General features: G+C 44.0%; 1 long non-coding RNA gene across 8 annotated transcripts in view, besides 1 other annotated feature; it reads right to left on the bottom strand.

The window, feature by feature from the left end:
* The window catches only part of LOC105373592 (uncharacterized), a 530486-nt gene that overhangs the window by 471186 nt on the left and 42362 nt on the right, over positions 1–16938 (bottom strand). The window lies entirely within an intron of this gene.
* Positions 4076–7209: an enhancer, noted in NCBI's record as "VISTA enhancer hs2321". NCBI's record gives its function as "enhancer in: pancreas[4/7]" and the evidence as "EXISTENCE:transgenic organism evidence [ECO:0001131][PMID:17130149]".

The following is a 16938-nucleotide window of genomic DNA, read 5'->3' as shown; positions in this document are numbered from 1 at the left end:
CCCTGGAAGTGAGGAGCCTTTAGAAGTACCCACTGGAGTCACTGGAGCCAGGGGTCTTTACGCCTCTCCTGAATCACTGATTGATGAGGAATCTCTTGAAATTCCATAAATCCTGTAACTATACAGTGCTAGTGATTGTGTCTTCCTCTTGAGTGAGTGCTTAGAAAAACATAGAGCTATAGTTTAGTCCACCTCTAGAAAATCATCTGAACCTCCTGGATGTATTTTCAGTGAGAACTATTCCTCTGGTTCCATTCCTTTCCACTGTTTTCCTTCCATTTTTTTTAACCATGTTTCAATTGCAATGTATCTTCCTGACTAATCTTTTTAAAGGAATGTAAAATAAAAACAATGATATAAAAAGACTGGTTGACCAACTGATGACCTGAAAACTATGAAAAGGACACAGTAGATGAGGAGGTGGGAAAAGAGCAAAATCTAATCAACATCTCGTGGAGAACCCAAGTCTTCCACAGAACCTAGCACCACTGTAGTGCTTGCTGTATGGCTATTGAAATTGCTTTAGTATTTATTAAAGGAATAAAAGAACCTCAGAACTAGACATGGCAAGAAATGTCCCTGTGTGGTCAGGTTGATCTGGCACATGATAGGAAATCAGTAAATGTTTGTTGAATAAATAAATAAATGAGTAAAAAAATTGAACAAATGAACAAGCAGCGTGGCGAAGGTCTAAAGATGCCGAACCAGAAAGCTTACAGAACAGGAAGTAGTGTCATCGTCACTGTGATTAAGGTAAGCCCCTAGGATAAATGGTCGGTAGACAGGAGAAAGCTGCCTGCACCTTCAGTTACGGCCAGCCCAGAAAAGGTGGTAATACTCAACACAACATCCCTCCAGACACAGTCAGGATGGTGGCAGCACCAAAACAGCAAAAGCCTTCCTGGGGCCTCCACCACCCAAGTCCAATTTCAACACTTTATTGTTCCCCCACTCCTTGCCCAGTTCAGTTTTCACTCTGTGTAATTGCTTTCTCTGGATTTGGCCAACTTTCTCTGGAATCTTCTAGAAAAGCAATATGAAAGCTGTTGCAGCCACACCATCAGTCCAGAGTTTCCCAAAGTCTTCCAATTCCAACTGATACTGGATGTTCACGAGGGTCTCCTGAAACGTTTGATAGTTGCCAAACCTCTGAACACCCACAGCACACAATGTCCCCATTAAATGCACGCAGCATATTTGAGATACTTAAATAGCTTCTTAAACCCTTAGTGAAGATTATCACATACTCAAAACTGAGCAAAAACCACCAAGACCTAAGAGAGCAGTGGCTGTTCCGGATGTGGCTAGGTTCACTCACCAGCTCCTCTGTGCCGGCCTCACGAGAATCAATATTCAAATTTTTGTCTCTAAAAATGACCATTCATCGTGTGTTAAGGGCTTTCAGGGTGCTTTGCAAATAAATAGTTGAAACCACAAATATATCAAATCCTCTAATGCTTAGGGTCTAAAGTCACTCTTACTCCAAAATTAATTTGCACTCTCTCTCTTTCTCTCTCCAGCCTCAGAAGAAAAACTATTAAAGTGCAGACATCAAAATCCTGAACAACAGCTTTAATAATGCTAGAGAGGCAAACCTCAGAAAAATACTAAAACAGCATCAAAAAGGAATCAAAATACCAGCCACAATTCTATTTCACCCCCCCAACAATTATCAAAATAACTCAACTCTCACTCAATATCATGTGTGTTTTCTTCATTAAATTTACAGTGTACCTCATCTCATCACCCTCCCTCCCCTCAAATGCGTCGGTATTACTTTGCCAGTGAAGTCTGGTCTGAAGGGAAAATTCAGACTTCAAATATTAAATCTGAGCTTCACAGAGTAGTAATGAAGAAATCAGACAGAAAACCTTTGTAATAACAGACTCAGACAAAAATAAAGCCCTGGAATCAGCTGGAATAGCCACGTCTAGTTTATGGAATCAGTTATGCTCTTAGACCTTCTGGGCCCGGCGACTTTTGCTTTGGGCTCCTCTGTATGTACGGGCATGGATCACCCAGTTTTTTTAAAGCTGCTGTCAAAAACTGTCTCTAGGACCACAACTAGACTCATTATCAATTTATCTCCTTCCCCTGTCTACCTCCCAGGCATCACCAGTCTCACCACCTCCTAATTTGTTCTGCATCTGGTGCCATAGTACACTCACCCGCTCTGAAACATGCATGTAAAACAGGGTGGGCCTCCCAATTCCAATGCCTTAAAGGCTAGGGAGATCAGCTGAGAGTAGAAAAATAAATATATTTTTGGCTGAGTGTAGTAGTTCGCACCTGTAATCCCAGCACTTTGTGAGGTCAGGGCAGGAGAATAGGTTGAGCTCAGGAGTTCAAGACCAGCCTGGGCAACACAGTGAGACCTCATTTCTACAAAAAAAAAAATTTTTTTTAATTAGCTGGGCACGGTTGCATATACCAGTAGTCCCAGCTGCTCAGGAGGCTGAAGCAGGAGGATCAATTGAGCCCAGAAGATCAGGCTGTACTTAGCTATGATTGCACCACTGCACTGTAGCCTGGAGAACAAAGCAAGAGCCGATAAAAAAAAAAAGAAAAAGAAAAAGAAAGAAAGAAGAAAGAAAGAAAGAGGGAGAAAGGAAGAGAGAGAAAGAAGAAAGAAAGAGTTTTTAGAATGTATTTGATTACTATCTTGTTCTGCGTACAGTAACCCTGACAAAGTTTATTCAATTATTTGAAACTCTAGCATAAAGCAGCACCATCCAACCATCCAACAGAAGTAGAATGCAAGACACATACTTCATTTTAAATATTCTAGTAGCCACATTTTAAAAACTGAAAAGAAACAGGTGAAATAAATCTTTTAAATATTTTTTATTTAACCCAATATAGCCAACATATTCTCCCTTCAATATATAATTAACATGGCGTTGGTGGTAGAGTGGTGAGCATAGCTGCCTTCCAATATATAATCAACGTGTCTTCCAAATCTGCACTTACAGTGCATCGGGATGCAAACACTAAATTTGCATCAGACATACTTAGAGTTCATCAAATTTATAGCTGAAAGAGTAGATTCACATGCCCAAGTTGTTCAGACATAAAAGTTCTCCAACAATTAAAGGAGTATTTGTTTTTAATTTAAAATTTTGATTAATTAAAATTCCAAAAAAGTAAAAATTCAGTTTGGTCACCCTGGCCACATTTCAAGTGCCCAATGGTCACTTGGAGCTACAGGTTACAGCCTTAGGCAGAGCAGGTTAGGACAAGGGCCACCTTTATGGTATACTCTAAGAGTTGGGCTCTCACGTCAGTCCAACCTACGTCGAAATTCTGGCTGGCACATTTACTAATTGTGTGACTTTGGGCTAGTCACTTAACCTCTGTGTTTCCTGTTTCTCTTCTGGAAAATGGGGCTAACAATACCTACCTCTTAAAGCTGTTAAATGAAATCCCAGCTGTAAGAGGGCCCTGCTGTAGGTACCTAATAAACATTACCTCCTACTCACCCATTGAAACCTCCTCACCACCTTTTTCCAAAAACTGATTTTGTGAGTAGATAAGGCAATTTGCATATAACTTGAATTTAAGCTAAAGCACCCTTCCACCAAAGACTTTGAAGATTCTGCTCAGTCTTGTGAGTACCACTAGCAGTAGGCACATAGTAGGCCCTCTGGGCCCCTCCATTCTAGCCAGTGCCACTGGCATTTTAATTATCTGCTGACAACAGCAACTCTCCCACTGGACTGAGAATAATTTTTATGGGTTTTAGCTCTGCAGAACCAACACATACACAGGGCCTGGCACATCCCAGGAGCTATTAAAATATGGTTTTTGAACAAAGGAATGAATCACTCTATAATGCTATGTGTGAAAAAGAGGGGGAGGAGGAAAAACTTGTAAAATATGTAAGCCTTATCCTAGCATTATCTAGGGCAGAAATGATGCCTTCTAAATTAGCAGAGACAGCATTATCCAGGAAGTCTTCCCTGAACATACTGGCCCACAGGGTTCTCAAACTGTGCTGAAGATGGGTGAATTTTGGAGAACTCCCCAGCAACTGTGCATAGAATGCTACAAAATTGTTCTCCAGCCCTTCCATCAAACAGTGTGGCCTCTCCATCTCTTTCACAGGCTGGTTCCTGTGACTTTCCTACCTCCTCTCCTAGCAGGTAAACACCTATTCATCCCTTAATACTCACCTTATTCATTTCATCCTCTGAGAGGCCTCCCCTGGCTCTCTGCCCTTCTGTGCCCCTGCTCCCATTGTGCCGCTTTGGGACCTACTACACAGTTCTCTGTTGTACCCAAGGGTTCTACATTTCAAACTATTTGCTTCATAGCTGTCTTTCCCCCAGAGCTGAGTGTGAACACCTTGAGACAGGAGTTCTGTGTCCTCAGGCCAGCTCATTGCCTACTGCAGGGGCTGTGGCGCCAGTGTCTGCAGAACAGAACTGAATTGAATCAAATTAAAATCTTTCATCCCTTGCGTGTGACACTTTTAATGACTAAAGTTCAGAGAACCGAGTTTTCTAGTTTTCTGTAGGATTTTCTAGAATTTAATTTTTGTAGCACTTTATCTTTCCAGGAACCAAGACCCCAGCACGTGTCTCTAAAGCCCAAGAGTGGGGCAGAGATCAGGCATGAAGGTGGCTGGGGGAAAATGGGGGAACTTCCACTTCCTGAATACCACCTCTGAGCCCAGTGCCCAGGTGCCACTTACATCCTTGTGCCACCAAATCCTCGCCATGTTTCTGCCATGGGTGCTGTTATTCTCATTATATAGACAGGGAACCTGAGGTTCAAAGAGGTTAAATAACTCCAGAGAGCTTTCGGTGGAGCCAGGGTTCCAAGCCAGCTCTGTTGAAATCCAAATTGAGTGTTCTTTCCACTACATTGTGTTGCTTCTAGGTCCGGAATGGTAGCTTGCAAAATAGGAAAGACACAAAGAAAGGGAGGGCAGATTTTCAAATTTTGCCAACAGCCAACCTTGTCTCCCAAAGTTCAACAGGCCATAGAGGAGCCATAGAGAAGAGGAAGAGAAGCAGCTGCGTATATCTTCATTCATTCCACAGGTATGTATTTAATACTCAGTATGGTGCAGACATCACGTATGTAAGAGGCTCTTGGAAAGATGAAAAGTCCATGAGTTTAAATTCCAACTGTGTCCCATACAGCTGTCTAACTTTGGACAATGTACTTAACCTCTTGGAGCCTCCATTTCCCTGTCTGTCAAAGAGCGATAATCTACCATGCAGATTAGAGCTAATATATGTAAAGAATTCAACATAGAACATGGCCAATAGCAGGCAATCAACCAATGAAAACTATTATTATTGCAAAGTCAAGACAAGAGCTTTGCCCTCTGTGAATTTAGTCTATCAGGGGAGAGAAACAAGTAAACAAATAATCTAATGATTACATATTATGCGGCAACTTACCAGGAAATCAGGGAGTGCTCCCACCCCCAAGTGGGCTGCCCCCCACTCACGGGAGGTGTTCTTGAGCCCCCCAACCTGTTTGAGCATTCTCCCTCTCTTTCTCACTCTCCACCTAGAGATGTCCTAGAAGTGATGCGGAGGTCCTGTCTACATCACCGTCGGAGACTGGACACCGCTGCCCTCAAAGCTGACAGGAGGACAGCTCAGCTGGGCAGGCAAGAAAGCCCCAGCCCCTGCGCACAAAGGAAATGCACGAGCCCTCAGCTTGACACAGGCCATCCCCTGATGCTGGGGTGTGCAGGGCATGTGGCTGACTCCATAGCATGCAGGGCAAACGATAATTAAATCAACCTGCATGGTTCAGGCATTCAGGCGTTTGAAATGGGCACTTGTGTGGAATGGATTCTAAAATGATAACACACGGCTTATTCTTTCTTTCCTTTTTACTCTGACAACATTGTGACTAATGGCTTTACTTTTAGGGTTTCTGGATCATTGAGTAAATTTTAGGGTCATTAGTGAGGGCAAAAGCGGCTTTCTCATTCTTGATCTGTTTGCCCTCAAAATATTTTCCTCTCTACTCCTTTCCATGGCTGTCATGATCAGCATGAGTGCCCTTGATGTGGGGTTTAATGCCATGTGGTCCACACAGTCTCCACAGACCAAACAAATCAACAGTGACAACAGCAAGGCAGCAGATCATTAAGCGTAAAGGAACTGTAATGGACGCATCAGTCAATTTGAACTGCCCGGGCAGCCCCTATCTCCTGGCCGCCTCCCTCCCCACGGGGCTTTTCTCCAGGAATCTGTTCCCATAGCACCTGCTGAGCTGGCAGCTGGCCAAAGGATTCTGCTCCCAACCAGAGCTGGTTAAACCTGGAGTTGGTACCTGACACAGCTCCAGCCATCCAGCTGGCTGGCCAGCAACCAAATACTGTCTCTCCCTGGAATCTGAATTAAGGGACACAGCTATGCTAATCCGTAATGGGTGATGGAATTGTCATAACATGCCAATTTGGGGCTGGGCTGGTGGCCCCTTGGACTATGTGCATGGCAGAATGCAAAGAGGAGAATAAGAATCAGGGAGACACTGACAGAAACAGAGATGGGGGTGCTCAACCCCTGGGGAAGAGGTCTGTACAGGAGCCCACAAAGTACTTTCTACTGCCTGTACCTGGGGTCATCAGGTCTCCTGGATGAAGCAGGAACATTTCACCTGGAAGGCCCTGGAAACCTTCCTAATATAGCCACCTCTCTTACACATGGGCAGACTGAGACCAAAGAGGAAAATGCTTGACCAGGGCTACCAGAAGTATCAAGGATGGACTTTACACTGGACTGTCAACTTGGCTAGGCTATGGTGCCCTGTTGTTTGCTCAAGCATAGCCTGAATGTTGCTGTGGAGGTATTGTGTGATATAATTAACATTTAAATCAGAAGACTAAGTAAAGCAAATGACCCTCCTTCATGTGGGTGAGCCTCATCCAATCAGCTGAAGGCCTGAAGAGCAAAAACTGAAGTTTCCCAAAGGAGGAATTTAACCTCACAACCGCAGTGTATAATAAGCAACCTCAGCAGTCTCATGACACAAAATCAATGTGCAAAAATCGCTAGCATTCCTATATACCAACAACAGTCAAGCTGAGAGCCAAATCACAAATGAACTCCCATTCACAACTGACACACACACACACAAAAAAAAAAATACCTAGGAATACAGCTAACAAGGGAGGTGAAAGATCTCTGCAAGGAGAACTATAAACCACTGCTCAAAGAAATCAGAGATGACACAAACAAATGGAAAAATATTCCATGTTCATGGATAGGAAGAATCAATATCATGAAAATGGCCATGCTGCCCAAAGCAATTTATAGATTCAATGCTATTCCCATTAAACTACCATTGACATTCTTCACAGAAGAGAAAACTACCTTAAAATTCATATGGATAACTAAAAAAGAGACCAAATAGCCAAGGCAATCCTCAGCAAAAAGTACAAAGCTGGAGCCATCATGCTACCCAACTTTGAACTATACTACTGGGCTACAGTAACCAAAACAGCATGGTACTGGCACAGAAAGAGACAAAATAGACTAATGCAACAGAACAGAGAACACAACAGTAAGGCCACACACCTACACTATCTGACCTTCCACAAAGCTGACAAAAACAAGCAATGGGAAAATGATTCCCTATTCAATAAATGTTACTGGGATAATTAACTAGCCATATGCAGAAGATTGAAACGAGACCTCTTCCTTACACGACATACAAAAATTAACTCAAGATAGATTAAAGACTTAAATGTAAAACCCAAAACTATAAAAAACCTGGAAGACAACCTAGGCAATACCATTCAAGACGTAGGCACGGGCAAAGATTTCATAATGAAGACACATAATGAAGCAAAAGCAATTGCAACAAAAGCAAAAATTGAGAAATGGGATCTAATTAAACTAAAGAACTTCTACACAGCAAAAGAAACTATCAACAGAGTAAACAGACAACCTACAGAACAGAAGAAAATTTTTGCAAACTAGGCACCTGACAACGGTCTAATATCCAGCATCTATAAAGAATTTAAACAAGATTGCAAGAAGAAAACAACCCCATTAAAAGGTGGGCAAAGGACATGAACAGACACAGACACTTCTCAAAAGAAAACATACATGCAACCAACAAGCATATGAAGAAAGCTCAATATCACTTATCACTAGAGAAATACAAATCAAAACCATAAGGAGATATCATCTCACACCAGTCAGAATGGCTATTAAAAAGTCAAAAAATAACAGATGCTGATGAGGTTGCAGAGAAAAGGGAACACTTATACACTAAATTAGTTCAACCATTGTGGAAGATAATGTGGTGATTCCTCAAAGACCTAGAGATCCAGCAATCCTATTACTGGGTATATACCAAAAGGAATATAAATTATTCTGTTATAAAGACACATGCACATGTATGTTCATTGCAACACTATTCACAATAGCAAAGACATGGTATCAACCTAAATGCCCATCAGTGATACACTGGATAAAGAAAAAGTGGTACATATACAGCATGGAATACTATGCAGCCATTAAAAAAGCATGACATCATGTCCTTCACAGGGACATGGATGGAACTGGAACCATTATCCTTAGCAAACTAACACAGGAATAGTAAACTGAATAAAGCATGTTCTCACTTATAAGCACATAAAAACAGTCTTTCTGTAGCATGTACTGAGCACTGAATGGGTCAAGATGCTTTCCCAAGAGGCTGAACTAGTCAAAGAGGGAGTCTGTTGCCTGGCGTAACCTGGAAATGCAAAGATGCTTCCTGTTGCAGCAGAGCTGCATCCTGGGCCTAAGGATGCCTCCAGGCTCCTTGTCTATGGATGGATTGATATGCATCCAACTCTCCTCCTCTTCCTCCTGCATGTTGGCTTTGTTCTCAAGCAAGCTCTGCCTGTGTGGGTCCGAGGTGGCCACCAGCAACTCCAGGCCCCATCCCCTCTGTTCCAGTCTTTCCAGCGAAAGTCTCAGAATTGAGTTGCACTCAGCCTGGATAGGGTCACATGTCCAGCCCTAAACCAGGTTCTGTGACTCTGGCTGGCCTGGCCAGGGTCGTGTGTCCCCTACAGGAGCAGGTGGAAGACGAATGAGCATTCCAAAAGGACATGAGGGTGGTGTATGAGAAGGAAAAAGGATGCTGGCAGGCAGGTGCGACAGATGGCCGTGACAGGCCCTGTCCACGCACTCAGCTTTCCAGGCCCACATCAGCCAGTCTTCAGAGCAGCCCAGTATGTGTTCATGGCCATTTTACAGATAAGAAACTAAAGCTTAGGGCTACATTCCCACAGCAAGCACAGGGTGAGCGGGATTCAAATCCAAGTCTTAGTTCCCGAAATGGATCAAAGTTCCTCAAGGGTGTTGGTGCCTCTGAGATTCTCCATCAGCTTTGGCACAGTCTGGCTCTCCCAGCACATCTTCTCCAAGAGACTGAGCAGGATTCTTTAATCTGGCATGTTGCTGCCCAGCCACGGGCTCCAGCCTTCTCTGGAATTCTCCTGTCCAAATTCCCCGGTCACCTTCTGCTCCTGCTCCTGTGTGTGGTGATGCTTCACAGCTGGTTCATCACGTGCTTGCAGTACCCACCACTGTCTCATTCATGCTTTGCGTGTCAAGCAGCCACACTGCTGCCATGTGACCACTACCTGCACGGTGTGAGGTGGGGCAACACCAGTCTGCCTCCTCCTAGACTTCCAAGCACCCTTCCGAAGAGTGGCCAAAAACAGGCCAGCATTTTTAATACTTTGGGAATGGGTTGGCCAACATTTGAAAAAGCTGCAGCTTAGCAGATATGCTCACAAGCTACATCTTCTAAAGCCTGACATTGGTTAGGAATTAAGGTCGGGTCCAGGTCTCAGTATTAATAATTCTTTCTCTTTATCACCTGAATTTTGCTGTAAAGCAGTGCTGACCAATAGAAACATAATATGAATTATATATGTGATTTTCAACTTCCTAGGCACCACTTTTAAAAAGTAAAAAGAAACTGGGAGAAATAATTTTATTTAACTCAATGTGATCATTTCAAATATGATCTCAGATATGATCATTTCAACATGCAGTCAATGTTCTAAATTATTTACGAGATACTTTACCTTCTTTTTTTCAAAATCTTTAAAATCCAGCATATAGTTTACACTTACAGCATATCCCAGCTGAGACCATCCACATCTCAGGGGCTCAGGAAATACACAAGGTAAGCTGAACAGCTCGCGTCTCAAGGATTAGGTACAGAGGTTGGGGCTAGCAAGTGGCGGCTATTTATGACCCCAAAGTCACAAATTCCTATTCTGTGACTACATAGAAATCAAGAAATCACTAAGGCGCTGTCTCTCTCCTTCGCTTCACAACCATGGGGCCAGGTGATGATCTCTGACTCCCTTCCTCATCTACACTGCAGCCCACTTCAGCTTAGGGCAGATCCCTGGCGCCGTAAAGCGAGGCAGAGAACAAAGCCAGAAAGTATGAGTACACGCATATGCGCCCAGTGTGCACATGCCACCTCAAGCCCATTCCAGGCTCTGTTTCCAGCCAGGTCATCTGTAGTGGGCAACATTATAGGTTGCCACATAGGACCACATCACCTGTTCAGCAAAAGCTTCTTCAATAACTAAGAGAGAGAAAAACAACTTTTTAAAGCAGTTATCACATATCTGAAATTATCTTGCCATTCCGTACTTTCTCATTGTCTTAAATCCTCCTGACACCCCAAAGAGGTGCATCTCATGGCCCCTTTCAGTCAGTGGAAACAGACACTCAAAAGAATGTCAGTAGGCTGCCAAGGGCCACATAGGTTGGTAATCACAAAGCTAGATTCAGACCCAAAACTACCCGCCTCTCAAAGTACATGTTCGCTTCCCCACACTCCCCACAAATCAAACCTTAACAACTGTCTTTGTCAGCTCAGGCTGCCATAACAAAATACCATAGTCTGGGTGGCTTAAACAGCAGGAATTTATTTCCTCACAGTTCTGGAGGCTGGAGCCTGAGATCAGTGTTCCAGCGTGGTCAAGTTCTACAGGGCCCTCTTCCATGCTGCAGACAGCCACCTCGTCACCGTGCCCTCACACGGCGAGGAGAGCAAGGAAGTTCTCTCTCTCTGCCTCTTCTCTTAAGAACACCAATCCTGACCAGGCAGTGGCTCATGCCTGTAATCCCAGCACTTTGGGAGGCCGAGGTGGGCGGATCACGAGGTCAGGAGATCAAGACCACGGTGAAACCCCGTCTCTACTAAAAATACAAAAAGTTAGCTGGGCATAGTGGCGGGCGCCTGTAGTCCCAGCTACTTGGGAAGCTGAGGCAGGAGAATGGCGTGAACCCAGGAGGCGGAGCTTGCAGTGAGCCGAGATTGCACCACTGCACTCTAGCCTGGGCGACAGAGCGAGATTCCGTCTCAAAAAAAAAAAAAAAAAAAAAAAAAGAACACCAATCCTGATGGGTCAGAACCCCACTCTCGTGACTCACTTAACGTTAATAGAGTCACATTTGGGGTTAGGGCTTCAAGATATAAATTGGGGGTGACACAAACATTCAGTTCCTAACAACACCTAGTACCACTACTTCTGCCAAAATGTCAAACTCTGCCCTTACCCCAGATCCCACACCTCTCAACCCAGTACCCCCACCCACCTTCCTGCCCTATCTGCCACATGCTACCATCGGCAGCTCCCACAGCAGGAGGTGCGCAGGGGCCACCCAACTGAGGAAGGGGCTGATGAGCTGTTGATGTCCAGTTACACTCCTGACCTGTGACCACTGGCTCCCCTTGCCTCTAGGTCTTGAGGGCTCCCTGACTCCCGGCTGCCCCCTGACTTCTGGCCACTGGCTGCAGTCTGACTGTTGGCCTTTGTGTCCCACTCCCACGCCTGGCTCTGATCCTTTCTTCCCCGTTGGGCCTCAGCTCCCCAGTCCTGCTGCCCATGCCATCTGCCCAGCCACCCAGTTACCTGTGGTCTCCCTGAGGTGACTGTCTGGTGGCCCTTCCCACTGTGTCTCCCACATAGCAGCCACTCCCTCACCCTGCCATACATGGGCTACAGGTATCCCTGTGAAGTGGCAGCTACACAGCCTCTCCGATAGGCTGGAGGCCAGGCTGGTTCCCAGGATGGAGGTGGGTGGGTGAGCTCTGCACCAAATGTATAAATAGAGCATCCCAGGCGTTAATTATCTCCCTCCAGCACATCATCAGAGGCCATTTATGGAAAACCCACACTGAGCCGAGTGCAATGACTGGAGGTTCCCAGCTCTCGCCTCAGGATTACTGCACAGCTGTCACCCACAAGAAAGGAAACAGGTGTGCCAAGGAGCCTGCATTAAAGAACTGCTTCTCAGACCTTGCCTGAAATAAGCCACGCATATACAGGGCACCAGCATCCCCAGGTCACAAGCTAGAAAAGAACCAGAAAGAAAAAGTGAAGTGAAAGCGGTGAAGAGAAGAGAATTAGAAGAAGGAAGAATCAAGAGTGAAAAAATAAATACTTACCAAGGGTCGGGCTCGGTGACTCACGTCTGTAATCCCAGCACTGGGAGGCCCAGGCGGGCGGATCACCTGAGGTCAGGAGTTCCAGACCAGCCTGGCCAACATGGTGAAACCCCGTCTCTACTAAAAATATAAAAGTTAGCTGGGCATGCTGGCCCCTGCCTGTAATCCCAGCTACTCAGGAGGCTGAGGCAGGAGAATTGCTTGAACCCAGGAGGCTGAGGTTGCAGTGAGCCAAGATCGCGCCACTGCACTCCAGCCTGGATGACAGATTGAGGCTCCATCTCAAAAAACATAAAAAAAAAAAAAAACAGTAACAACAAAAAACTTCAGCAAGGGGTGGTGAGCCCAGTACCAGCTCACTGTATGAGAACCTCTGATCTCCACAGAGAAGAGAATCAACTTCTGCATGTCAAGGCCTTTACTTAGGAATCAAGCCACTCCCTATACAAAGCATCAGATCTAGGCATCAGTCTATGGTTGGTCAACCAGGCAGATGCCAGGGCTCAAGAGACTTCGGTAGCAGTCGACATTTGCTTACCTATATGTACGCAGTCACTGTGCATTGTGTGCATTGTGGGCACTATTTCGTTTGATCCTCACAAAAACCTAGGATACAGGAATTATGCTTATCTTACATATGAGAAAATACCTTTTCACCTATTCTTTGCCATGAGGAAATGTCTTGCCATGATCACCCAGCTATTAAGTGACAGTCAGAACAAAACCTCCATTCTGCCAGATTGCAAAGGCCAGCTGTTGACCACCATGTTTATTTTTAAGCTAGGATTCAGGGAGTGTTATTCCACAGGAAATGCTTAAGAGTGGGGAGAGAGGATTTAAATGTGTAAAAGAAAGTGGCTGTGAGCGAACACTGAGAGACACAGGTGGATTTGGCATGTTGCTGGTTGAAATTCTGAACCCTTCTCCCAAGCAGTCAAGTCCAAAATCCAAATTGCTGGCACCTTCTTTGACTGAAAACGTTCACTCTCTCTAGAAGCAGAAGGAATTCATCGTGGAATGTCACTTCAAAAGCATTGTTTCCTTCCACTCAAGAAAGTGTTAAGAACACTCACTAGGGAAAGTATCTCTCTGAGATAACCCAGCTGACTGTGAAAATTAAGGTATCTTCAAACTTTTACCATTCCATAGTCATCATTGAGAAGTAGAGAAATGTTTGTTGGCAAAAATCTGTGGGCCAAGGATTTCTTGATACACTTTTACTGCCTCCTTGGCTGGGGCTGGAGCACTGCACACCAAGTGTGTCACCTTGTAGGATCTGTAAATCCTCTGAGAAATAAATTCAGGGTGGCCACACACATCTTGTGAACTTGACTTCATGCCAGCAGAAAAAGAGAACTAATCAACCATGCAGCTAGGTGTGGAGCCAGAGAGAACTAGTGACGGAATCCTGGTCCCCAGAGGGTCATAAACCCCCAAGGCCGCTCAGACACAGATGTCCAAATGCACATCTAGACGTGCACTGTCTGACATGATCGCTGCTCGCCACATGTGTCCCTTGAGTGCTCACAGGTAGCTGGTTGGCATCGAGATGTACTCTAAGTGTAAAATACACCCCAGATTTCTAACGTGAAGTATGAAAAATGAAATACCTCATTAATAATTTTCTAGTCATTACTTGATGGGTTAAATAAAATATATTATTAGAATTAACTTTACCTGTTTCTTTTTATTTTCTTAATGTAGCTACTAAAGAAAAAAAAATTGAAACAGATTGTCACCCAGGCTGGAGTGCAGTGATGCAATCTCAGCTCACTGCAAACTCCACCTCCCAGGCTCAAGGGATCCTCTCACCTCAGCCTCCTGAGTACCTGTTACTATAGGCGTGTGCCACCATGCCCAGCTGATTTTTGTATTTTTTATAGAGACGGGGTCTCACCATCTTGCCCAGGCTGGTCACAATCTCCTGGGCTCAAGCAATCAGCCTACGTTGGCCTGCCAAAGTGCTAGGACTACAGGCAAGGCCACCGCACCTGGCCAGAAAATTTAAAATTATATATGCAGTTCACATTCTATCTCTACTGGACAGTCCTGCTGTAAACAGTCAGGCCACTGAAGGAATCTCAGCAAATCCGTTTGTGCTTCCCATCTCTTTTCCAAATACCTCTGACTGGTAGAGCAGGCAAAGCCCTCAGTCCTGCCCCATCCCCCTTTCTAACCCTCGTCTTTCCTAACACAGAGGATGCAGAGGTTGGGAACTTCCCTGGCATGCACTTTAACCAGGCTGACAACCTACCAAAGGTTTGGCAACACATTTTGAGGCAGAAACTCAGGAGTCAGACTCCTGTTTGAACCCTGGATTTCTAACTAGTAACACGTGTGATTTGGAAGTTATATCTGTGTTTCCAAAATTCTTCTATGGTGGAGAAGTGCAAATCAAAGCCATAATGAGATATCACCTCACCCCTGTTAGAAGAGAAAAGGGAATTCTTACACATTGTTGATGGGAATGTAAATTAGTACAGCCATTATGGAGAACACTATGGAGGTGCCTCAAATATTAAAAATAGGGCTAGGCGCGGTGGCTCACACCTGTAATCCCAGCACTTTGGAAGGCCGAGGTGGGCAGATCACCTGAGGTCAGGAGTTCGAGACCAGCCTGGCAAACATGGTGAAATGCCATCTCTACTAAAAATGCAAAAATTAGAAGGGTGTGGTGGCAGGTGCCAGCTACTCAGGAGGCTGAGGCACAAGAATTGCTCGAACCTGGGAGGCGGAGGCTGCAGTGAGCCAGCCTAGGTCACACCATTGCACTCCAGCCTGGGCGATAACAGCGAGACTTCATCTCAAAAAAAAAAAAAAAAAAAAAAAATTGGAACTAGAACTACCATATGATAGAGATATCAGCACTCCCATGTTTATTGTAGCACTGTTCACAGTAGACAAGATTTAGAAGCAACCTAAGTGCCCATCTACAGAAGAATGTGGTACATATATACAATGGAATATTATCCATCCATAAAAAAGAATGAAATCTTGTCATTTGAGACAATATGGATCGAATCTAGAGGACATGATGTTAAACAAGCCAGGCACAGAAGGACAATTACGCCATGATCTCACTCATATGTGGAATCTGTAAAAGTGGATCTCATAGAAACAGAAAGTAGAAGAGTGGTTGCGAGAGGCTGGGGAAGGGAAGATGGAGTGAAGGGAGAAGTTGCCCAACCAGTACAAAGTTAAATAGGAGAAAAGAGCTCTGGTGTTCTACCACAGTAAGGTGACTGTAGTTAACAATAATATATCGCGCATATCAAAATAGCTAGAAGAGAACATTTTTAATGTTCTCACCACAAAGAAATGACAAGTCTTTTGAGGTGATGGATACACTAGATACCCTGATTTGATCCTTGTACAACATAGACATGCATCAAAACATTACACTGTATCCTATAAATATGTACAAATTATTATGTGTCAATTTAAAACAAAGTAAAAAAGCTTGGCTTCTAGCAAGGCTGCCCTTAACAGGTTCATTTGCAGGGCTCAAGGCAAAAGTACAGCTGGGAGCCCTCATGCCATATTCAGCCTTCAACATATGAATCGGAGTGGGGGGGCACACAATTTGGTCCATCATGCCATGTGTCCAAATATCTAAAAGATATAAATCAAGCTCACAAACTGCCTGATCAAGTACATTCTATCCTCCTCTCTTGACAAATACACCTTTCTCTGCAACAAACTTTCAAAATGTGTAACCTTATGGCTTTTATGTTACTAAAACTAGCAAGATGCCAAAGACAGCTGAGTGCAGTGATTGTGCCTTCCTGGGTATTCTACTGATGAGTAGGTAATGTTTGGATGGGTGATGATAAAAAAATAGTTAATTAATATATTATTACATGTTTATTCCATGAAAGTTTTTATCCCTTACTTCATTTTATTAAAATCATAAATTATGTTAAAAGTTTAACCATAATTTGTGTTCTATTGTCAGTAATGATATTAGAGATTAAAAAACAAAATGGGGCCAGGCGCGGTGGCTCACGCCTGTAATCCCAGCACTTTGGGAGGCTGAGGCAGGCAGATCACGAGGTCAGGAGATTGAGATCACCCTGGCCAACATGGTGAAACCCCATCTCTACTAAAAATACAAAAATTAGCTGGGCGTGGTGGTGCGTGCCTGTAATCCCAGCTACTCGGGAGGCTGAGGCAGGAGAATCACTTGAACCCAGGAGGCAGAGGTTGCGGTGAGCCAATATCACGCCATTGCACTCCAGCCTGGGCAACAAGAGTGAAACCCCATCTCAACCAAAAAAAAAAAAAATTTGAATACAAAATTTAAAAGTTCCTTCAAAGGTGTCAATGAAAAATTAAAATTATTTTTCTTAAATTTTACAAAAAGTTTTTTTTCAAAAATAGTCTAAATTATGCAACAAAGTTAAAGGCAAAGTAAAGTTATAATTATGATCAACTTTTAAAATCAAATGTATTTTGTAAAAGCTCTTTTTAAGTTTTTGAAAGTTTAAA

This window comes from Homo sapiens, chromosome 2 (assembly GCF_000001405.40).
Source record: "Homo sapiens chromosome 2, GRCh38.p14 Primary Assembly".
In the NCBI taxonomy this organism is placed as follows: Eukaryota; Metazoa; Chordata; class Mammalia; order Primates; family Hominidae; genus Homo; species Homo sapiens.
Note: the sequence above shows the minus strand (reverse complement) of the source record. Positions and strands in the feature narration are given on the sequence as shown.